At 40.5% G+C, this 24,763-nt stretch overlaps 1 protein-coding gene across 5 annotated transcripts in view, besides 2 other annotated features; it reads left to right on the top strand.

Annotated features, from left to right (window-relative positions):
- Positions 1–24,763, top strand: part of UPF2 (UPF2 regulator of nonsense mediated mRNA decay) — a 123,149-nt gene that overhangs the window by 8,632 nt on the left and 89,754 nt on the right. For all 5 annotated transcript variants that reach the window (NM_080599.3, NM_015542.4, XM_047424986.1 and 2 more), the window contains exons 3-4: positions 5,015–5,794; positions 20,355–20,515. In NM_080599.3, coding sequence (NP_542166.1) covers positions 5,015–5,794; positions 20,355–20,515 — 941 coding nt within the window. The remainder of the gene's footprint in view (positions 1–5,014; positions 5,795–20,354; positions 20,516–24,763) is intronic.
- Positions 6,625–6,694: an enhancer, noted in NCBI's record as "active region_3029". NCBI's record gives its function as "activates an Ori minimal core promoter by ATAC-STARR-seq in GM12878 lymphoblastoid cells {active_cell/tissue: GM12878}" and the evidence as "EXISTENCE:reporter gene assay evidence [ECO:0000049][PMID:35858748]".
- Positions 12,377–12,436: a silencer, noted in NCBI's record as "silent region_2133". NCBI's record gives its function as "represses an Ori minimal core promoter by ATAC-STARR-seq in GM12878 lymphoblastoid cells {active_cell/tissue: GM12878}" and the evidence as "EXISTENCE:reporter gene assay evidence [ECO:0000049][PMID:35858748]".

Raw genomic sequence — 24,763 nt, 5'->3', positions numbered from 1 at the left:
GCCACCGCACCTGGCTGTTTATTTTTTAAAGACTTTTTTTCATACAAAATTAGTCAGGCATGGTGGCGCATGCCTGTAGTCCCAGTTACTCAGGAGGCTGAAGTAGGAGAATCGCTTGAACCTAGCAGGTGGAGGTTGCAGTGAGCCAAGACTGTGCCACTGCACTCCTGCCTGGGCAACAGAGCAAGACTGCATCTCAAAAAAAAAAAAATAAAATAATAAAATAAAAACTTTTTTTCATGGTATGATAGTACTCCATTTTTTAAAAAAATTGAAAACCTTCAGTTGGCTGATGTTTGTTGAGTTCTTATCTATCAGGCATTGTACAGAATATATTAGCATCTATCCTTAGGACAATCCCAGTGAAGTAAGTTTTATGATCCTCATTTTACAGATTAACAAAATGAAGCTTAAGGAGGGTAAGTTGCTTAAGGTCACAGCAAATAGTAGAGCTGTTGGGATTTAAAGCTAGGTTGGTCTGACTTTAAAACTTTTGACTATTCATTAAGCACAATTCCACAATGCCTTCCATTCTTATCTTTATTTAAATCTGTTTTTAAGCTTGTAAACCTGTGCAAGTAAATAATAAACTAGTGAAAAATGTAGTTCTTACAGGAGAAACACCAGAGATGCATCAGCAGTGACTACTGTTGAATAGCATAAGCTCTTCTCTAAATATAAAACTTATTAGGCCGGGCATGGTGGTTCACGCCTGTAAACCCAGCCCTTTGGGAGGCTGAGGCAGGAGGATTGGTTGAGCTCAGGAGTTCAAGACCAGCCTGGTCAATATAGCGAGACCCTGTCTCTATGAAGAAAAATAAGGGAAAGCATAAATATATAACTTATTTATTTTTAACTAAAAAAGTTTTTTTTTAATTTAAGAGGGCAACTTACCCTTTTTAAGCCTCATTTTATTGATCTCTAAAATGAGGCTTGTAGAATTTAACTTCATTGGTACTGTCTTAAGGATATTTGCTAATATATTTTGTACAGTGCCTGGTAACATAACAAGAGCTCAACAAACTCCAGCCAGGCTGGAGTGTAGTGGTACAATGCCAGCTCACTGCAGCCTTGACCTCCCAGGCTCAAGCCATCCTCCCACCACATCCTCCTTGGTAGCGGGAACTACAGGTGCGTGCCACCACACCTGGGTATTTTTGTACTTTTTGTAGATAGAGTTTCACCATGTTGCCCAGGCTAGTCTTGAACTCTTGGACTCAAGAAGTCCTCCTGCCTCAGCCTCCCAAAGTGTTGAGATTACAGGCATGAGCCACCATGCCTGGCCTAAAAAATCGTTTTTGGAAACGGTGTCTTTCTTTTTTTTCTAAGTTAGTCTGTAATTGCTGAGCTCAAGCGATCCTCCCACTACAGCCTCCCTAGTAGCTGGGACTACAGATGTACACTACTTTGCGTGGCCAAATATATAATTTAAAAACCTTTTTGCAAGCACGATTTTGTATAGATCTCTAGAACAGCCACCTTTCTTCTCAGAGTTGTTCTTTAGGACTTCTACTTTCTTCCCATTTTTGGGGGGGTGATGGTGGCATTGCTGTTGTTACCCAGGCTGGAGTGCAGTGGCTATTCTCAGGTTCCATCATAACGTACTGCAGTCTCCAACTCCTGTGCTCAAGTGATTCCTCCTGCCTCCTGAGTAGCTGTCATTACAGGCTCGTGCCACCACCCCTGGCCAGGACCTCTTTTAATAAGGAACAGAAGCCTTAGGTCTGCAAAGCTATAGTAGTGCCTAGTTTTGGAATATTCAGAACCATGATTCTTAAGAGAGTCTTTTTTTTTTTTTTTTGAGACAGGGTCTTGCTCTGTCACCCAGGCTGGAGTGCAGTGGCCTGGTCTTGGCTCACTGCGATCTCTGCCTTCTGGGCTCAAGTGATCCTCCCGCCTCTGCCTCTTGAGTAGCTGGGACTACAGATGCATACCACCATACTTGGCTAATTTTTGTATTTTTTGTAGAGACGGGGTTTTGCTGTGTTGCCCAGGCTGGTCTTGAACTCCTGAGCTCCTGGGAAAATTTCAGATATATGCAAAAATAGAATAGTATAGTGAACTAGTCCCCCATCTACCTAGCATCAATAATTACCCACTTTTTCCCCCTGGAGTATTGTAGAGCATCATAGCATTTACCCATAAAAACTTCGATATATAAGTGTTTTCAATGCAGCTGAAAATTGAGTTATTTAATGTATGTACATACTTTCTTTTCTTTTCTTTCTTTTTTTTTTTTTTGAGACAGAGTTGTTTCACTCTTGTTGCCCAGGCTGGAATGCAATGGCGCGATCTCGGCTCACCGTAACCTCCACCTCCCAGGTTCAAGCCATTCTCCTGCCTCAGCCTCCCGAGTAGCTGGGATTACAGGCATGTGCCACCATGCCCGGCTAATTTTTGTATTTTTAGTAGAGACAGTGTTTCTCCATGTTGGTCAGGCTGATCTCGAACTCCTGACCTCAGGTGATCCACCCGTTTTGGCCTCCCAAAGTGCTGGGATTACAGGCGTGAGCCACGGCACCCAGCCTTGTACATACTTTCTTAAAATGTACTTTCACTGCTCATTTTGTATTTGTGTGTTGCTGGGAGACTTCAAAGAGATACTCAACTGTCCATGTTCTCAGTGATAGAGGCCACCTTTCTGTTAATATATTGTAGCTTTTAATGGAAAAATCAAATAATTATCTTATAACTCAGGGGTGATTATCTCAGAAAGATGAAAATGTACTTTTTTAGAGATTTATAGATATGCGTATAACTTTTTGAGACAGGGCTCACTCTGTCACCCAGGCTGGAGAGCTATGGTGTGATCATGACTCACTGCAGCTTCAACCTCCTGGGCTCAAGCGATCCCCCCGTCTCAGCCTCCCAAGTAACTGGGACTACAGGCATGTGCCACCATGTCCAGCTAATTTTTAAAATTTTTTTGTAGAGATTGGGTCTTACTATGTTGCCCAGTCTGGTCTTAACTCCTGGGCTCTTCCCACCTCAGCTTCACAAAGTGGAGATTTAAGTTATGTGTTTTGTTATCTCAAAAACTTCAATAAACTTCAAAATCAGATTGTTGCCCCTCACTCGTGCCTATTTTATTACTTCTGCAATTTAAACTTGTTCTGTCTTTTTAGTGGAAAAATAGGTATATTTGTTTTTGGTTATTCTTTTCAGTATAAACTGAGTCTACTAGGTTTTTATTAAGTTTCTTATTTGATAGTTGTCTTCTGGTTCCTTTCCAAATTTTCTAAATCACTTGAATTTTTAAGAGCCCAAACATAGCAAGGTACTTTGTTAAAGGTTTGGCTAATGTGCTGAGGATGGAAAAACAATATCTAACATTGCAAAACTGTTTTGTTTTTTTTTTTTTTTTTGAGATGGAGTCTTGCTCTTTCGCCCAGGCCGGACTGCAGTGGCACTATATCGGCTCACTGCAAGCTCCGCCTCCCGGGTTCATGCCATTCTCCTGCCTCAGCCTCCTGAGTAGCTGGGATTACAGGTGCCTGCCACTGCGCCCGGCTAATTTTTTGTATTTTTAGTAGAGACGGGGTTTCACTGTGTTAGCCAAGATGGTCTCGATCTCCTAACCTCGTGATCCACCCGCCTCGGCCTCCCAAAGTGCTGGGATTACAGGCATGAGCCACCGTGCCTGGCCTTTTTTTTTGAGACAGAGTCTTGCTCTGTCACACAGGTTGGAGTGCAGTGGCATGATCTTGGCTCACGGCAACCTGCGCCTCCCGGGTTCAAGCAATTCTGCTGCCTCAGCCTCCTGAGTAGCTGGGACTACAGGCGCGTGCAACCATGCCCTGCTAATTTTTTGTTATTTTTAGTAGAGATGGCGTTTCACCATGTTAGTCAGGATGGTGTCGATCTCCTGACCTCGTGATCTGCCTGCCTCGGCCTCCCAAAGTGCTGGGATTACAGGCGTGAGCCACTGCCCAGGCCTCAAAACATTTTTAATGCATTCTTTTATAGTGCTAATTATTATTATTATTATTATTATTTTTTGAGGCAGAGTCTCGCTCTGTTGCCCAGGTTGGAGTGCAGTTGGGAGATCTTGGCTTACTGCAGCATCAGTCTCCGACTCCCAGGTTTAAGCAATTCTCCTGCCTCAGCCTCCCAAGTAGCTGAGATTACAGGTGCCCACCACCACGACTGGCTGATTTTTGTATTTTTAGTAGAGACGGGGTTTCACCATGTTGGCCAAGCTGGTCTCGAACCCCTGACCTTAGGTGATCCACCCGCCTCCCAAAGTGCTGGGAGCCACCACATCTGGTCTTGTAGTGCTAATTCTTTAAATAATTCTTTGTGTATAATTGTTTTTTTTTCTCTTTGCCCATTGCTTTTATTTGTTTCACATTTTACATCCTTCCCAAACATACTATATTTTTCACAGTAGCATTATATGTCTTACCTAGTTAGCTTGCCAGTTGGCAGAATGATTTTTAATTTTAATCTAGTGTCAGTATCCTCTGCTCTATGACATTTGTTATCGACCTCCAGTACTGGGCTTCTCATTAAGATAATACTTGTTATCGTTAGTCGTTAGTAAAATGTCTTTATGTGTTTTTTTTTTGTTTTTTTTTTTTTGAGACGGAGTCTTGCTCTGTCGCCCAGACTAGAGTGCAGTGTCACGTTCTTGGCTCATTGCAACCTCTGCCTCTTGGGTTTAAGTGTTGTGCCTCAGCCTCCTGAATAGCTGGGACTACAGGTGAGCGCCATCACGCCCAGCTAATTTTTGTATTTTTAGTAGAGGTGGGGTTTCACCATATTGGCCACGCTGGCCTTGAACTCCTGACCTCAGGTGATCTGTCTGCTTTGGCCTCCCAAAGTGCTGGGATTACAGGCATGAGCCACCATGCCTGGCCAGTAAAATGTCTTTAAAAGTAGTGAAAGGCCTTTTGAATCTTGTAGATTGTTATACTTAGATAATTTTTTTCATTGGCTTTTTACTCTTAGGGGATTTGTGTATAATGCTTCAAAATGTAGAGAGTATTTTATTTATTTGTTTGTTTTTATATAGAGAAAAAGAAGAATCCATTCAGCTTCATCAGGAAGCTTGGGAACGACATCATTTAAGAAAGGAACTTCGTAGCAAAAACCAAAATGCTCCGGACAGCCGACCAGAGGAAAACTTCTTCAGCCGCCTCGACTCAAGTTTGAAGAAAAATACTGCTTTTGTCAAGAAACTAAAAACTATTACAGAACAACAGAGAGACTCCTTGTCCCATGATTTTAATGGCCTAAATTTAAGCAAATACATTGCAGAAGCTGTAGCTTCCATCGTGGAAGCAAAACTAAAAATCTCTGATGTGAACTGTGCTGTGCACCTCTGCTCTCTCTTTCACCAGCGTTATGCTGACTTTGCCCCATCACTTCTTCAGGTCTGGAAAAAACATTTTGAAGCAAGGAAAGAGGAGAAAACACCTAACATCACCAAGTTAAGAACTGATTTGCGTTTTATTGCAGAATTGACAATAGTTGGGATTTTCACTGACAAGGAAGGTCTTTCCTTAATCTATGAACAGCTAAAAAATATTATTAATGCTGATCGGGAGTCCCACACTCATGTCTCTGTAGTGATTAGTTTCTGTCGACATTGTGGAGATGATATTGCTGGACTTGTACCAAGGAAAGTAAAGAGTGCTGCAGAGAAGTTTAATTTGAGTTTTCCTCCTAGTGAGATAATTAGTCCAGAGAAACAACAGCCCTTCCAGAATCTTTTAAAAGAGTACTTTACGTCTTTGACCAAACACCTGAAAAGGGACCACAGGGAGCTCCAGAATACTGAGAGACAAAACAGGTGATTTTCAAATGTTTCTCAGAGTTGAGAATTTATTTTGGAGCTCATACTTAAAAATGTTTAAAGTCTTCATGCCACTGAAAGAACTTATGGAAAAGGGCTCCTTACAGGTGATTTCTTAACATTCCAGGAAAATTTCAAAGTAGAACAGTCTGAGTACTCATGTTTTAATGTGAGTCTACGATAGATTTTGTTTCTGATTTTAAAAAAATCTGCCAAGTAGATGGTGATTTTTGCTTTGTGGATGTGTATTCTTCCTGTGATTTTAAATACTCCTTAATAATCAAGGGGTAAAATTTCCTTTTCTGTCACTTAAACTTACCTGCTAATATTTTTCTGTGTGCTTTAACGTTCTCTCTATAACAGGTTTGCTTTCATTGTTTTGTATTTTAAGTTCTTTATGTCACTGTTGCTCTTCTTAAGAAAATGAGTCATTAATTACCAGTGGTATTTCAGATTAGAGTTTTGGGAAATAATGCACAAAATTAGCTGTGAAAAAATTTCTTAAATGCAACTACAAAACTCATTTGTAGGAGTCTTCTTCCTGGGGGCATTCATTTAAAATTCTAAAGGAGGAATGTACTGTGCCTGTGGTAATTGGTGAAAAGACCTGACTTTGGGGCCAATTTTGGTTGTTAAAAGGTATGGTAGACTACTGTGTAGTATTTGTACCTGAGGAGCAACAAGAAGCTAGAAGTTGATGGAGTTGCTAGGCATTAGGTCAATTTCTATGGAGGATGGATTTGGAGGGGGGCTGAGGGAGTGTAGCAAAGAGGTAATAGCCATAGCACGTGGCTGAGTATTAAACTATTTTAATATTTCTACAACTATTTATATTGCATGGTTGAGAATCTGAAATTACTGTTGATCAGAAATTTGTATAGGAGGAGATCCTTTTCTAGTTTCATAAGTCTGTGGTAGGGGAGGAGTGGTTTAAGTAGTTACCACTAGAAGATGATTGACCAGAAGATTGAACAGGAGTAGTGTATGCCAGTAGTACAGTTAGGGCAGGGTCAAGGTAGAGACTGTGGTTAAATCTTTGTGGCTGAAGGTCACTCAGAGGTGAGAATTTAAGACGGCAAAGGTGTTATCAATAGTTCTTTTAGGAAAAAGGAAAAGGCTTATCCTTGTTTTGTGTTTTGATTTGCGAGGACTGGTTTAAACTTTGAAGAGGCAACCTGAGAGTGTACTTGTACCATCAGTAATGGACTAAAAAGGATTATGGTGGTGCTTTATTCATACTTCTCACTTACTTAGGGCTTAATTATGATTTCCATATGCTTTGTCAATTTCATAGTCCTTTGCTCGTACATCCTACCTAATACATCATAACTGATTTGTGAGTATGCTAATAGTATGCTAATGATTGATTAGTTCTTGGCTACTTTGAGGGTGTATGTGTGTGTATTTGCTTTTGATTGGACTCAGAATCTTGGAGAGTGGAGAGATTCTACGATGTTTTAATCCAATCCATTCACCTTTCCAAAGTAGGAATACATTTTTTAGATTATCTAACAGATAAAATTATTTTTCCTCTGAATACTTCCCAAAGGAGCTCAGTTCTCTCGGTGCCATTGCACTGTTGGAAACACTATGGGCTAGGAATTCTTTGTTACATCAGGTGGAAATTTAACTTCCCACAAAATGATTCCCTTTGATTTGGTTCTTTTTTCTGGTATGGATGGAATACAGGTACTTGAAGTAGGAAATCTATGAACTTGTAACCTGTTCACAATTTAATGAAACACAGAAAGTGAGAGTGAGCATTTAGAAATTATTATAGGAATTTTCAGGCTGGAAATGGTGGCTCACACCTGTAATCCCAGCACTTTGGGAGGCCAAGGTGGGTGGATCATCTGAGGTCAGGAGTTTGAGACCAGCCTGGCCAACATGGTGAAACCCCGTCTCTACTAAAAATGCAAAAATTAGCCGGGCATGGTGGCAGGCCCCGGTAATCCCAGCTACTTGTGGGGGACTGAGGCAGGAGAATCACTTGACCCTGGGAGGTGGAGGTTGCAGTGAGCCGAGATTGTGCCATTGCACTCCAGCCTGGAGGACAAGAGCGAGACTTCGTCCTAAAAAAAAAAAAAAAAAAAAAGTTTATAGGAATTTTCAGTGGTCATGGTATTCTTACTATATTTTTACAGAAGTGTCCAGTGGTTGGGGAAGGAAAGGTGGCCCTTTACCACAGATGGTTTGAGGAATACCAGTAGAGGACATATGTGTCCACTTTTATTCCCATGACAGTATCTCAGATATTCAGACTGCCGTGATGTTTCCCTTTTCTCGTCTCCATGTTAAATACCTCCAGTTCTTTCAGTTTGCTCCATGATTTCCAGACACTTCACTACTCTTAGGATACTTGTTTTGGATGCATTCTTTTCTATCTGTGACCTAAAATTGCCTTAGTTTTTATAGCTACCTTGTTGTTCTTTTGGTTTTTGTTAAACTTATTTGCACTGAAGCTTTATTTCTCATATGAACTGCTGACAAGCCACTTCTTCTTCACCTTAAACTAGTGAAATACAATTTTTAAAGCCTAAATGTGTACTTGCATATCTCTGTTAAACTTTATTTAGATGCTTTTTGTATATTATTTTAGCTTTATGAAAGCTTTGGATATTGATTACATGTGTATTATTAATAGTACTGGCAGGGTGCGGTGGCTCACGCCTGTAATGTCAGCACTTTGGGAGGCTGAGGCAGAAGGATCGCTTGAGCCCAGGAGTTTGAGACTAGCCTGGGCAACATGCTGAAACCCCATTGCTACAAAAAATATAAAAATTAGCTGGGTGTGGTGGCATGCGCTTGTAGTCTCAGCTACTTGGGGGCTGAGGTGGGAGGATCAGTTGAGCCTGGAAAGTCGAGACTGCAGTAAGCCATGATCGCACCACTGCACTCTAGCCTGGGCGACAGAGAGAGACCCTGTCTCGAAACAAAAACTGAATAGTGCTTATCTTCTGGTCACATTCAGCTTTGATAAGCAGCTCTTCTATTTTATTATTCAAGTCATTGATAAAAATTTGAAAAGGATGTGGTTAAGAATACAGCTTTGTGGCTTTTCCTTAGAAACTTTTATCCATTTGTTACAGAACTATTAATCCACAGTTATTTGAGAAGTTTACTTACATAGTGTAAACTGACCTTAGTATTGTCACAGCCTATTTATTTATTTATTTATTTATTTATTTATTTAGAGATGGAGTCTTACTGTCTCCCAGGCTGGAATGCAGTGTCATGGTCTTGGCTCACTGCAACCTTTGCCTCCCGGGTTAAAGCAATTCTCCTACCTCAGCTTCCCAAGTAGCTAGGATTACAGGCCTGCGCTGCTACACCCAGCTAATTTTTGTATTTTTAGTAGAGATGGGGTTTCACCATGTTGGCCATGCCGGTCTCAAACTCCTGACCTCAGGTGATCTGCACACCTCGGCCTCCCAGAGTGCTGGGATTACAGGCGTCAGCCACCGTGCCTGGCCATCATAGCCTTTTTATGATGGGAGACTTTGCTCATTTAGATGTAATGATTTGAGGATGTGAGAATCTTAATCACCATGTAGAAAATAATTGGCATATGGCTTAATAAATCACTCATGCCTTAGGATAGCTTCAACTTGAGCAGCCACTATAGAGAAGATGCAGATACGTGACTGAGCAAAAGACATGAGGAATGGATTAGTGCACAATCCCTATTGGCCTAATGATAGTTTCCTACCTTCTGCAAGGGTACATTATGGTGTTCTGCTAAAATGATCATTTTGTCCCTCCCAGTCATTATCCAGTAGCTGTGTTTTTTTTTTTTTTTTTTTTTTTTTTGTAACAGGGTCTCCCTCTTACCTGGGCTAGAGTGCAGTCGTGTGATCATGGCTCAGTGTAGCCTTGACCTCCTGGGGCTTAAGGGATCTTCCCACCTCAGGCTGTCAAGTAGCTGAGACTACAGGCACGTGCTACCATGCCTGGTTATTTTTTAAATTTTTTTATAGAGAGGGAGCTCCCTATGTTGCTCAGGCTGATCTCAAACTTCTGGGGTCAAGCGATCCTCCTGCCTTGGCCTCCCAAAGTGTTGGGATTATAGGTGTGAGCCACTGTGCTCGGTGCCACCCCACCTTTAATTAATAAATAAATTAATTAATTTTTCGAGACGGGGTTTCCCTGTGTTGCCCAGGCTGGAGTACAGTGGCGTGATCTTGGCTCGCTGCAACCTCCGCCTCCTGGGTTCAAGCAATTCTCCTACCTCAGCCTCCTGAGTAGCTGGGACTATAGGCACATGCCACCACACCCAGCTAATTTTTGTATTTTTAGTAGAGACGGGGTTTCGCCATGTTGCCCAGGCTCGTCTCGAACTCCTGACCTCAGATGATCTGCCTGCCTTGGTCTCCCAAAGTGCTGGGATTATAGGCGTCAGCCACTGTGCCCACCCCCCATCCCAAACTTTAAAAGAATTTTTGTAAACATAGAGATATGGTCTCACACTGTTGTCCAGGCTGGCCTCGAACTCCTGGGTTCAAGCAATCCTCCTGCCATGGCCTCCCAAACTTCTGGGTTTACAAGTGTGAGCCACTGCACCTCTCATCTAGTAGGTGTTTTGAGGTTTTTCTACATCATAGGACTAAATAATGGGCAATAGTTCTTCCAGTAAGGTTTCCCTGAGGTGTGATAAAGCAAGAAAACTAAGCTAGCTGATATTTAAGATTCCTACCTAGTTAAATTTCTTTAAGCATTTTATTCAATATCTTTTATTATTTTATTTTGTTTTTTTGAGACAAGGTCTCACTCTGTCACCCAGGCTGGAGTGCAGTGGCAGGCTGAAGTGCTCACTGCAGCCTCCACCTCCCAGCTCAAGCAGTCCTCCATCAACCTCCTGAGTAGCTGGGACCATAGGCACGTGCCACCACACTTGTCTAATTTTTTGTATTTTTGGTGGAGACAGGATTTCTCCATGTTGCCCAGGATGGTCCCAAACTCCTGAGCTCAAGCCACCTGCCTGCCTGAGCCTCCCACAGTGCTGGGATTACAGGCATGAGCCTCTGTGCTTGGCCAATATCTTTTTTTTTTTTTTAGATGGAGTCTCGCTCTGTCCCCCAGGCTGGAGTGCAGTGGCATGGTCTCAGCTTATCACAACCTCCACCTCCTGGGTTCAACCGATTCCCTTGCCTCAGCCTCCCGAGTAACTGGGATTACAGGCATGCACCACCACGCCTGGCTAATTTTAATTCTCTATTTTTTTTTTTTTTTTTAGTAGAGACAGGGTTTCACCATGTTGGCCAGGATGGTCTCGATCTCTTGACCTCATGATCTTCCCGCCTCGGCCTCCCAAAGTGCTAGGATTACAGGTGTGATCCACCATGCCCAGCCGAATATTATTTTTTGTTATACATTTTGGTTAAGTGATTGACCTGGTGAGTTATAATTATTATAAATTTAAAAATGTCATCCAGTAGTATTTGCCTATTTGGAATTAATAGCCTTACTTTCTCAGTGAGTTTTGCCTTTTATAATGTTAAGTGCTCTTTATATGCTTTGAAATGCTTTGTACTTTGAAATATTATAGAGGTCCTATTAGTATATTTTGGGCATTTAATTGGATGAAGAAATGATTTCATTTTCATGGCTATAACTCAATTATGTTACAGAATTTGTTTCTTTCAGTATAGTGAAATCATGAATTCAGGTAGTAGGCTAGAATTCTTGTTTGAGTAATCTCAAAATATCTTTATTCCTTTTTTTCTCCCTAATTGGTGGAAGTGGTAACAAGTTTCTCTTCAGCACCCCTGACTTAGTACCCTCATGATTGCAGGCTTAGTCTAACAGCAGTGAGTTGACAAAGTTCAGGAAAAAAAATTTAAGTAGAATGCAGACTTTTTCGTCTGCCCATTGTTAAAAAAAAAGTCAGAGGTTTCTTTTATGAATGCTAATTCTTGAGGCATTATTGACTGATATTGAAACTTAAAAACACATCAGCCAATAATGAAATGGTACTGCTTTTACTTTCACTTTCCTTCCAGGTGAGTTGTACCTTGCTTCACAGGTAGGTTGTTTAATTGGTAGTTAATACCAATTAATTAATTGGTAGTATTTAAGCACAATTAAGATGTTACTTCTCTGTACTTTAGATTTAGTGTTATAGCTGTAATGTTCTAAGAGCTCTAAAATTATGTCCTAGATATTCTAATTGTGTTTAAATGACTTTGCTGTAGTAGTAGTACCCATTTTAATGGGTACAGTTTTGCTTTGCTATGTTCTAGAGTCTTTTTACAAGATTATGAGATATCCATAAATAATTCTAAAATGAAACCAAAAGAAAATCTAAGATAATTTTTTTCTTTTTTTTTTTTTTGAGACGGAGTCTCCCTCTGTTTCCAGGCTGGAGTGCAGTGGCATGATCTCAGCTCTCTGCAACCTCCGCCTCCCAGGTTCAAGCAATTCTCCTGCCTCAGCCTCCCAAGTCGCTGGGACCACAGGCACATGCCGCCACGCCTGGCTAATTTTTTGTGTTTTAGAAGAGACAGGGTTTCACCATGTTGCCCAGGCTGGTCTCGAACTCCTGAGCTCACACAATCTGCCCTCCTCGGCCTCCCAAAGTGGTAGGATTACAGGAGTGAGCCACTGTGCTGGAGTCTCGCTCTGTCACCCAGGCTGGAGTGCAGTGGCGCGATCCTGGCTCACTGCAACTTCCACCTCCTAGGTTCAAGCGATTCTCCTGCCTCAGCCTCCTGAGTAGCTGGGACTACATGCACCTGCCACCACACTCGACTAATTTTTGTATTTTTAGCAGAGACAGGGTTTCACCATGTTGGCCAGGCTGGTTTCCTGACCTCAAGTGATCCGCCCGCCTTGCCCTCCCAAAGTGCTGAGATTACAGACGTGAGCCACTGCATCCAGCCAAGAAAATCTAAGATAATTCTGAGGCCAATTTTTATTAAAATTGGACAGAATGCTGGAGGAGATATAAAACCCAGCAGTTTTTCTGGGGTCTTCTTCATGATCATTCTTTTAAAGATTTTGTCCATGTGTTATATATAATTTTGTATGACTGCACAAGGGCAAAGTTAAAATGAATGTTCTGTATGTTTGTCAAGACTATTTTCCTTTTTAATTTGGCTAATGATTAATAGAATTTGGCATTGAAATTCTTGCCTTTCCTATGTTAGGCTTTGGCACTTTTTTTCTCATGAAAATATCATTTTACATTAACATAATAAATCCCACATATGATCCTTTTTTTTGAGACAGGGTCTTTCCCTGTCACCCAGGCTGGAGTGTCATGGTGCAGTCATAGCTCACTGCAGCCTCGCTATCTCCCACCTCAGCCTCCCAAGTCGCTGAGACCACAGGTATGCACCACCACACCTGGCTAATTTAAAAAAATTTTTTTTTTTTTGTAGAGACTTGGTTTCATTATGTTGGCCAGGCTGGTCTTGATATCTTGGGCTCAAGTGATCCTCCCACTTTGGCCTCCCAAAGTGCTGAGATTACAGGCATGAGCCACCACATCTGGCCTATATGATCTTAATTGATCCTAACAGTACCTATATTATATAAATGCCTATATTTTGAAGATGGTAAAACAAAGGGATTAAAGGGCTTGCCCAATATAACATGGAAAGTGAGTGATAGAGTCAGGTTCTTTTCTTCTTCTTCATACTGTACTTTTCACAATTATGTAATATCCACCCATATTTACATTTAGCACTTGTTTTTGAAGTGTATAGTATACATGTTAGCCGCTCAATATTTACCAAGTCAAATCCAAACGAGAGAGGGACCCAAAAGAGGAAATAAAATAAACAGTTCTGTGGTGAAGGCTTGCCTTCATGGACGTGTTTGAGAGACATTTTAACTTCACTGTAACATACAAAGTGGATAATTATAATTTGAAAGGCAGCATAGTCCAATATTTCAGAGCGTGGACTCTGGAGCTAGAGCACTGTCATTTGCACATTCTGCAATCTTGGGCAAGTTACCTGGCATCTCTGTGCTTCAGTTTTCCCATCTGTAAAATGGGCATAACAATAGTTCTGTAACTCTGAGGTAAATGTGAATCATATAGTGAATTCATATGTGTAAAAGCACTTAATAACAGTGTCTGGCACATTGTAAGTATTTAGTAAATGTTAGTTAGCTTTTATTAATAGATTGCCTGCCTGACCTTTCTGAAAGACATTTGAATGAGAATTTCTCTTTCTGTCTTTTTATGATTTTATAAATTTTTATGTTAAACTTCTTAAACTTTAGTAGCTTGGCTGAGGCTGGCGGATCACCTGAGGTTGGGAATTCGAGACCAGCCTGACCAATATGGAGAAACGCTGTCTCTACTAAAAATACAAAATTAGCCGGGCGTAGTGGCGCATGCCTGTAATCCCAGCTACTCAGGAGGCTGAGGCAGGAGAATGGCTTGAACCCGGGAGGCAGAGGTTGCGGTGAGCCGAGATTGCGCCATTGCACTCCAGCCTGGGTGACAGAGCGAAACTCCGTCTCAAAAAAATTAAAAAAAAAATAAAATTTATTTTTTAGGATAATACAAAGCAAAAATTAATAAAATGAAGGAAATATAAAAAAGTCAATAAAAATGAAAAAATGGAAAAGAAGAAAAAAGTTCTCTTAATATTAGAATTTTTTAGGCATTAATGAATTTTATTTATGATGTATAATGCTTGACTCAAAAATTGACTGGCTTTTTTGGTTGGTTTTATAATATTAAATTAGTAATATAAAAAACATTCAACTGGGCGTGGTGGCTCATGCCTGTAATCCCAGCGGTTTGGGAGGCTGAGGTGGGCAGATCACCTGACATCAGGAGCCTGAGGCCAGCCTGGCCAACGTGGCAAAACCCCGTCTCTACTAAAAATACAAAAATTAGCCGGGTGTGGTGGCAGGCTCCTGTAATCCCAGCTATGTGGGAGGCTGAGGCAGGGAGAATTGCTTGAACCTAGGAGGCGGAGGTTGCAGTGAGCTCAGATTGCACCACTACACTCCAGCCTGGGCAGCAGAGCGAGAATCCATCTCAAAAACAAAACAAAAAAAAACACTCCATAAAATCAAGGACTGACGTACTTTAGAGATTCTTCTGGACAGTGATGTCTCACGTATGTTGCCGAAAGGAAGGCAATTTTTTTTTATTTTTATAACAAAGCATAAGAGTTGGCATAGATTTTGTTCTCATTACTTACTGTTTATATCTGTAAAAGGGGACAAGTACCTCTCTAGTGTGCAATGATATTGCAGGAGAGAATGTACTAATTTATAAGACATGTAGTAGTGTGACAGGCATTGGCGAACTATGGCTTGTGGGCCAGATTAAGCCTATGACTAGTTTTTCTACAGCCTGTCACCTAAGAATGGTTTTTACTTTTTTAAATGGTTGAAAAATAGTCAAAAGTAGAATGTTTTGGGAAGCATGAAAATGATTTGAAGTTCAAATTTCAGTGTTCATAAATAACATTTTATTACAGTCACCCTCATTTGTTTACATATTGTCTGTGGCAGCTTTTGTGTTATGTTAGCAGAGTTGAGTAGTTTCAGCAAAGACCAAATGGTCTGCAGAGACTGAAATATGTATTGTATGGCCCTTTACAGAAAAAGTTTGCTGACCTCTACTTTATGACATTCTCAAAAGAATGGCTTAAATTCAGCTTTATGTAATTGATGTATTTCTAAAAAGGCAATAATTAAAATATGTGATGAAATCATATTTTCAGCTTGATTTTGGTTATATTTTCAGTGATACATTCCCATGGAATTCACATGAGAAATTTTGGTCATATTTTTTGATAACATTGATGTAAAGCAGAGATACTTGTTGGTCAGATGTGTTGTGTAATATTTAGTTCCCTCAAGTGGGTTTTCAAAAACAATTAAACTGAAAACCTTTTCCTGTGAGTTGCATAAAGTTACAAAAAATACCCTGACATTTTTAGTACCTACATTTAAACATGTTTAATTTCATTAGAATTTCTAAAGGATCCTTGGGTTTATTTATTTATTCATTTATTTTTTGAGGCAGGGTCTCACTCTGTCACCCAGGCTGCAGCACAGTGGCACGGTCACGGCTTACTGCAGCCTCGACCTCCTGGGTTCAGGTGATCCTCCCACCTCAACCTCCTGAGTAGCTAGGACTGTAGGTGCCCACCACCGCATCCAACTAATTTTTGTTTTTTTTTTGTTTTTGAGATGGAGTCTTGCTCTGTCCCCCAGGCTAGAGTGCAGTGGTGCGGTCTTGGCTCACTGCAACCTTTGCCTCCCGGATTCAAGTGATTCTCCTACCTCAGCCTCCTGAGTAGCTGGGATTACAGGTGCATGCCACCATGCCTGGCTAATTTTTGTATTTTTAGCAGAGATGGAGTTTCACCGTGTTGGTCAGGGTGATCTTGAACTCCTGACTTTGTGGTCCACCCGCCTCAGCCTCCCAAAGTGTTGGGATTACAGGTGTGAGCCATAGCACCTGGCCAATTTTTGTATTTTTTGTAAAGATGGAGTTTCACCATGCTGCCCAGGTTGGTCTCGGACTTGTTGGCTCAAGCAATCGGCCCTCCTTGGCCTCCCAAAGTGCTAGGATTACAGGCGTTAGCCGCTGTGCCTGGCCGATCCTTAGGTTTTTAAATGTTCAGGCACTATAATGAGTTATTTCTCTGCTTTGTCTGTATATTGTCTTACTGCATGCTGTGGATTTAGTCAGTTCAGTAAATGTGTATTACTTAGATGTCAAAGAAAGGATATATGGCTACATATGTCAGTTTTATATATAACAGAAGTCATACTGTATTAATTGGCATTCTGTCCTGCTAACCAAGTGCTCGGTGTAAGACATCATTAAAAACAAAACAAAACAAAAGAAAAAATCTGGGGGTTGGAGGGCCAGGGGAGGGATAACATTAGGAGAAATACCTAACGTAGATGACAGGTTGATGGGTGCAGCAAACCACCATGGCACGTGTATACCTATGTAACAAACCTGCACGTTTTGCACATGTATCCCAGAACTTAAAGTATAATAATAATAAAAAAATGGGAGTAAAAGGCTTATGGAGCTATAAAACGAACAAACAAAACCCCAAATCTAAACTTTTCTTGAGGACTATTCTCACTGAATAGTAACTTAAGTACACACTCATTAGTTAGGTAAGTTAGTGCTGTTAATGCATTTGATCATGGAATTAAGGGGAGGGTAAGGAGTATCAGTGAAGCTTTAAAGTTTTAGTTGGTTCCAGCAGTACTGGAGAGGAACTGGAAAGCAGACTCAGGGAACCATCATAGAATGAAATCACTTTTAATGGACTCAGCGCAAAGTCACAGGCAAATCCACACGTGAAAGTGAGGAAAAGGACTGTTCATTTTTGTTTTCATAAGGTAGTCATCACCTTGCTACTGCTTATATGTTAGAAATCCTTAGTGTGATTATTATGTATCTCAATGGACTGGATGTTTGTTCTTTGGATGACCAAAATGTCAGAACTTGTTAAGAGAATTAAAGTTTTGGGTTATGTTATTCTGAGATATATTTTCCGATTTCTTTTCAAGTATGAAATAATGTTGCATAGTAATTGTCATTAGGGGTTTTGAAATCTCTTAGAACCAGTATTATCCCTTTAATATAATTTGCTTCAGAATAAACTCTTCGGTTTTTGTTCTTTAATTTTTTTTCAGACTAAAGTGCCATGGAATAAACTCTTCAATTTTTACCTGTTAACATTTTTCTTAATACATTGAAGATTTTTTTTTTTTTTTTTCCGAGATGGAGTCTCGCTCTGTTGCTCAGGCTGGAGTGCAATGGTGCAATCTCAGCTCACTGCAACCTCTGCCTTCCGAGTTCAAATGATTCTCCTGCCTCAGCCTCCCAAGGAGCTAGGATTACAGGCACCCACCATCGTGCCCGGCTAATTTTTATGTTTTTGTAGAGACGAGTTTTCACCATGGGCCAGGCTGATCTTGAACTCCTCACCTCAGGTGATCCGCCTGCCTCGGCCTCCCAAAGTGCTGGGATTATAGGCGTGAACCACCGTGCCCGGCCCTACATTGCAGATATTTTTAAGTAACTTACTTCTTTTTCTTTTTTTTTTTAGACAGTCTTGCTCTGTCGCCCAGGCTGGAGTACAGTGGTGCAATCTTGGCTCACTGCAACCTCTGCCTCCCGGGTTCAAGTGATTCTCCTGGCTTAGCCTCCCAAGTAGCTGGGATTACAGGCACCTACCACCACACCCGGCTAATTTTTGTATTTTTAGTAGAGACAGAGTTTCACCATATTGGCCAGGCTGGTCTCAAACTCCTGACCTTGTGATCCTCCCACCTCGGCCTTCCAAAGTTCTGGGATTACAGGCGTGAGCCACCGCGCCCAGCCTAAGTAACCTACTTCTGAGCATTACTTATTCGAGTATTTTATTTAATTTTGGCCGAGTGTGGTGGCTCACACCTGTAATCCCAACATTTTGGGAGTTTGAGGTGGGAGGATTGCTTGAGGCCAGGAGTTTGAGACCAGCTTGGCCAACATAGCCAGACTCCCGTCTCTACAAAAAATAAAAGTAAATTAAAAAAAATTTTTTTTAAATGACTTTTCACTTCCAAAATGAGTTCTATTAGAACTTCTGATTAAAAGTTTTAACAAGCTCAGAGTGCTAATGTTGTGTCTTTCATAGGTATGAGTATGTTAAAATGCTATGGGTTTTTGTTTTAATTTTTAAAATTCATTCACAAAATTACTGAAAAAATTTTGTTTGTGTTTGTAACAGTAGTCTGAAACACATGTTTGAAGAGGGGGAAACATGCTCTCTAATGACAATATTTTTAGAGAAGCACTTTTTAGCCTGGCTTATTATGGTTAAACTATTTCAACATTTTACTAATGTGTTGGTAGAATGATATCTAATATATATTTAAATAATAAGAAAATGAAATTTCTCATTTTAGACCCTAATAGACCAGATTTGAAAAGAGGAAATAACTGGATTTCATGAATCTATGCACTGATGCACTTGTAATGGGAACTAATATTCGGAAAATTGAAAATATTGTTACTTGAATTGTTATAGTATTTATTTATTTATTTATTTATGAGACAAGAGTCTGACTCTGTCACCCAGGCTGGAGTGCAGTGGCACGATCTCGGCTCACTGCAACCTCCGCCTCCCAGGTTCAAGCGATTCTTCTGCCTCGGCCTCCTGAGTAACTGGGATTACAGGTGCCCGCCACTGCACCTGGCTAACTTTTGTATTTTTAGTAGAGACGAGGTTTTGCCATGTTGACCAGGCTGGTCTCAAACTCCTGACCTCAGGTGATCCGCCTGCCTCGTCCTCCCAGAGTGCTGGGATTATAGGCGTGAGTCACCATGCCTGGCCGAATTGTTATAGTACTGAAACAAAAGCTTATGTGAGTAGAAATAGGGTAAAATGGGAAAGTTTTGACATTGTTTCAAATAATCTGGGAAGAATAAGTATAGGCATTATTTTTCTGCCTTTTTCTCTGTAACTTTTAGAAGATGGAAGATGGCATTACAGAAAACCTCGTTTTCTTCACTGTTTGTAAGAAAACGCAAATAACAAGAAATAAAAAACTTCTAAGTATTACTTGTAAAAATAACTTTTATAATTTATAATTGACTTTTTGAAACAATGTATTTGCATTATGGTTTATAAATTTCAAATATTATAGTACCACATGGATATTTTGTATGTAAAAAATTGGATCCAGCTATATAATTCTCAGTGATTTATACGAATATAATAAGACTTTTACTCTATACATTTTGGTGTTTTCAGTAGTTTTGCATTTGTAGTTAGGGGCTTATTGGTGTATTCTTGCAAAGTGGAAGAGTGGTTATGTCCTTAGTTCCTTGATAAGGGCTGGCCTGAGTGAGTGGACTTCTCAGTATTTGTTACCTGGATAAATAACCAGTACTTGCACAGTAGATTGAGAATTGGCTGTGTGGAAGATTGTGGGCTTTTTCAAAAGATAATCTTGATTCAAATCATTATGGAAGTTTAAGGATAACTGATTCTGTTTCTTTTGAACCTATTCAAAATCTGTTGGTTTTGAAAACTGAGTTGTGTAGTTGTGTTAAATATTTTTGGTTAGTTCTGTATGTCTGAGGGGAGTATGACAGTAATAAAAAACCAAATAATTTTTGATTATTTTGTGATATATTGTTAAATATGATATTTCTGATTCAAATCATGGAGGTTTAAGAATAATTGATTCTTTGTATAACCTGTTTCTTTTGAAAATTGGCTTGTGTAGTTGTGCTAGTTTTGGTTAACTCTATATCTGAGAAGAGTGTGACTGTAATAAAATACTGAATAATTTAAAATTATTTAGATGTATATTGTTAAATATTGTATTTCAGCAAGCATGCTGCATATTCTTTGAGGAACCAGTGTTAAAATTTAAATGTTCAGGTGAATTTCATTATACATTTCAGATACATTTTGAAAATACTAGATTCAAATGTTAAATAAAAATGAAGATTTTACTAAATTTGTATGAGAAAATCAAATTATGGAATGTTTCCCATATATAACAATTTGTGATCACATCTATTTTGATAAGACTGTCAGATGATTTCATTTGTTTATAGGCGCATTCTACATTCTAAAGGGGAGCTCAGTGAAGATAGACATAAACAGTATGAGGAATTTGCTATGTCTTACCAGAAGCTGCTGGCAAATTCTCAATCCTTAGCAGACCTTTTGGATGAAAATATGCCAGATCTTCCTCAAGACAAACCAACACCAGAAGGTAAGAGATATCCTTAAAAACAAACATTGTGTTTTCTGTAAGCACTGTCACTTACCTTTAGGCTTATCAGATGTGCAGTATTGAGAATTTAAGTTTTTAAAATGGCGTCAACATTTTCAAAATGGGCCAAGCATGGTGGCTCATGCCTGTAACCTCAACACTTTGGGAATCCAAGGTAAGAGGATCGCTTGAGACCAGGAGTTTGATAGCAGCCTGGGCAACATAGTGAGACCCCATCTCTATTAAAAAAAACTTTTCTTAAATAAAGAAATGGTATTAAAACCTATTGATAACCTTGAAAAGCTATTTGAAATGATCCCTGAATGGAAGAGTCTCTGGACCTAGAAAATAATAACTCATGATAATATGATGAGTTCATTCAGGTTCTTGTGTAATAGATAGATATCTTTGAATTTCCTGGCAATTCTGTTTACTTAGAAATCTTAAGGGTGGCCGGGCGCAGTGGCTCATGCCTGTAATCCTAGCACTTTGGGAGGCCGAGGCGGGAGGATCACAAGGTCAGGAGTTCAAGACCAGCCTGACCAACATTGAAACGCCATCTCTACTAAAAATACAAAAATTAGCTGGGTGTGGTGGCACGTGCCTGTAGTCCCAGCTACTTGGGAGGCTGAGGCAGGAGAATTGCGTGAACCTGGCAGGCAGAAGTTGCAGTGAGCCGAGATTGTGCCACTGCACTCCAGCCTGGATGACAGAGTGAGACCCTGTCTCAAAAAAAAAAAAAAAAATTTTAGGGGTGAAGTATTTGTAAAATATCCTTCTATAATTAAAGAAAAATTTATATTTAATATCCTCAGTAAGAAATACCTATTGTATACTGTGAATGCATTTATTGTATTTATATATAATAATGTACATAATTCTTACACTTTTTTTTTTTTGAGACAGAGTCTTGCTCTGTCGCTCAGGCTGGAGTGCAGTGGCACAATCTCGGCTCACTGCAGCCTCTGCCTCTTGGGCTCAAATGAGTCTCCTGCGTCAGTCTCCCAAGTAGCTGGGACTGCAGGTGTGCACCACCATGTCTGGCTAATTAGAGGCAAGGTTTTACCATGTTTCTCAGGCTGGTCTCAAACTCCTTAGCTCAAGCAGTCCTCCTGCCTTGGCCTCCCAAAGTGCTGAGATTATAGGTGTGAGCCACTGCACCCAGGCTCTTATTCAATATCTCAAAGCTCATTCTCAAACTTTTTAAATGTTTTTTTTTTTTTTTTTGGCGGAGTCTTGCTCTGTTGCCCAGGCTGGAATGCAGTGGTGCGGTCTCTGCTCACTGCAAGCTCCGCCTCCCAGGTTCAGGCCATTCTTCTGCCTCAGCCTCCCGAATAGCTGGGACTACAGGCACCCACCACCACGCCCACCTAAGTTTTTGTGTTTTTAGTAGAGACGGGGTTTCACCATGTTAGCCAGGATGATCTCGATCTCCTGACCTCATGATTGAGAATTGGCTGTGGGCCGAGGTACACCTCGGCCTCCCAATGTGCTGAGATAACAGGCGTGAGCCACTGTGCCTGGCCAAACTTTTTAAATGTTTTAAAAAAGTTTCATCATAGAATTTGTGTTTTGGTTGACCCTGGCTTGTTTCTCAGAACTTTCTCAGTATATTTGTTAAGATATTTTAGAACCAAAATCTCTTTATAATATTTAGCATATGGCTGGGTGCGGTGGCTCACGCCTCTAATCCCAGCACTTTGGGAGGCCAGGGCAGGTGGATCATGAGGTCAGGAGTTCGAGAACAGCTTGGCGCAACATGGTGAAACCGTGTCTCTACTAAAGATACAAAAGCTAGCTGGGCATGGTGGTGTGCGCCTGTAATCCCAGCTACTCAGGAGGCTGAGGCAGGAGAATGGCTTGAACCTGGGAGGCGGAGGTTACAGAGAGCCAGGCTCGCGCCATTGCACTCCAGCCTGGGCAAGACTCCGTCTCAAAAAAAAAAAACATTTAGCATACTTGGGTATTGATTTAGGTGGTTTCTTTACCCCTTTTCTCTAATTGTCATACTGAAATTTAAGCTAATTTTTCTTTTCATTTTAAATGACTTTAAATTTATTATTATTATTATTATTTTTGAGACAGAGTTTCGCTCTTGCTGCCCAGGCTGGAGTGCAAAGGCGCGATCTCGGCTCACTGCAACTTCTGCCTCCCAGGTTCAAGCAATTCTCCTGCCTCAGCCTCCTGAGTAGCTGGGATTACAGGCATGTGCCACTACACCCGGCTAATTTTGTATTTTTAGTAGAGACAGGGTTTCTCCATGTTGGTCAGGCTGGTCTCGAACTCCCAACCTCAGGTGATCTGTCCGTCTCAGCCTCCCAAAGTGCTGGGATTACAGGTGTGAGCCACTGCGCCCTGTCATGACTTTAAATGTATTTTTAGACATTTTCCAGAATTAATAGACCTTGAAAAAATTCTGTCATTGTTTTTATTTTTATTTTTGGAGACAGGCTGGAATGCGATGGTGCAGTCCCGGCTCACTGCAACCTCTGCATCCCAGGTTTAAGCAACTCTTGTGCCTCAGCCTCCCAAGCAATAACTGGGACTACAGATATGCGCCACCAAGCCCAGCTAATTTTTGCATTTTTAGTAGAGATGGGGTTTCACCATGTTGGTCAGGCTGGTCTCGAACTTTGAGCTCAAGTGATCTGCCTGCCTCACCCTCCCCAAGTGCTGGGATTACAGGCATGAGCCACTGTGCCCAGCCCTGTCATTGTTTTTAAAAGATCTTTTTGGCCCGGCATGATGGCTTATGCCTGTAATACCAGGGCTTTGGGAGGCCAAGGCAGGAGGATTGCTTGAGGCGAGTTTGAGACTAGCCTGGGTAACATAGCGAGACCCTGTCTCTACAAAAAATTTTAAAAAATAAAACAAATTTAGCCAGTCATGTGGCACAAGCCTGTAGTCCTAGCTACTTGGGAGGCTGAGGTGGGAAGATTGCATGAGCCCAGATGTTCAAGGTTACAGTTAGATAATGATCACACCAGGCACTCCAGCCTGGGTGATAGAGTGAGACTCTATCTCTTAAAAAAAATTTTTTTTTCAGACATAGAACTTAAGGGCAAGAGTTTTTTTTTCTTTCAGTACTTTAAAGATGTTACTCCTCTGTCTTCTAGCTTGCATTGTTCCATCAAGAATGCTCCTACCTTTCTGACCTTTGTTCTTATTTATATAATCTATATTTTTTTCTCTCATTGTTTTAAAATTTTTTCATTATCGCTGATTTCAAGCATTAGTTATGGTGTAGCTTGGTGTGGTTTTCTTCGTTTCTTGTACTTCGGGTTCCTTGAACTTCTTAGATCTGTGGGTGTATAGTTATCATCAAATTAGGAAAATCTTGACCTTTATTTTTCAATTGTGTTTTCTCTTTCCTTCTTCGTCACCTCTCCTATAGGGACTCAATTACAAGTATTTTAGGTTGTTCAGTTGTCCCACAGTTCATTGATGTCCTTTCCTTTTTGTTCTTCGTTATTTTTTCCTGCCTTTCCTTTTGGATAGTTTCTGTTGTTATGTCTTCAAGTTCACTAATCTTTTCTTCTACGGTGTCTAATAACTTAATTCCATTTAGAGAAGTCATTTTTTATATCTATGTCTTGTCATATTTTCTTTGTATCTGACATGTTCAATCTTGTAGCTTGTTGAACATATGAAATACAGTTACAATAACTGTTTTAAAGTCCTTGTCTACAAATCTTGTCATCTGTGTGATTTCCGAGTTGGTTTCAATTGATTGCAGTTGCTTGACCTCCTTTGCATGTCTGGTCATTTTTCTACTTCTTTGGCTGCCCGCTTATGTTTTATTGGATGTGTCCTGGATATTTTTGTATTCTTATAAATATCATTAAGCGTCATCCTGGGTTGCAGTTAAGTTACTTGGAAATAGTTTCATCTTTGAAAGGATGCTTTGTTAGGAGGTACCAGAGCAGCCTTTAATCTAAAGCTAATTTTTCCTAATACTGAGGCAGTATCTTTCTGGACTTTTTCTGATAAAGTAGAGTCATAGAAGATTCTTCCAGTCAGCCTTGTGGGTATACAGACTATTCCTGGTCCCATGAGCCTCTCTGTGAGTCTTAATTCTTTTCAGTAGTTATTTTCCCAGTCTCACCTAGTTTCCTCACACATAGAGGCTGATCAGTACTCAGGTGAACATTTTGTTTCCTTATACATAGGAGCTGATCAGTACTCAGCTGAATGTTCAAGGAGACTCTGCAAATGTTTTGAAGTTTATCTTTGTGCTGGTTTCTCCTC

This window comes from Homo sapiens, chromosome 10 (genome assembly GCF_000001405.40).
Source record: "Homo sapiens chromosome 10, GRCh38.p14 Primary Assembly".
NCBI classification, from domain to species: Eukaryota; Metazoa; Chordata; class Mammalia; order Primates; family Hominidae; genus Homo; species Homo sapiens.
This window is presented reverse-complemented; position numbering and strand designations above follow the sequence as displayed.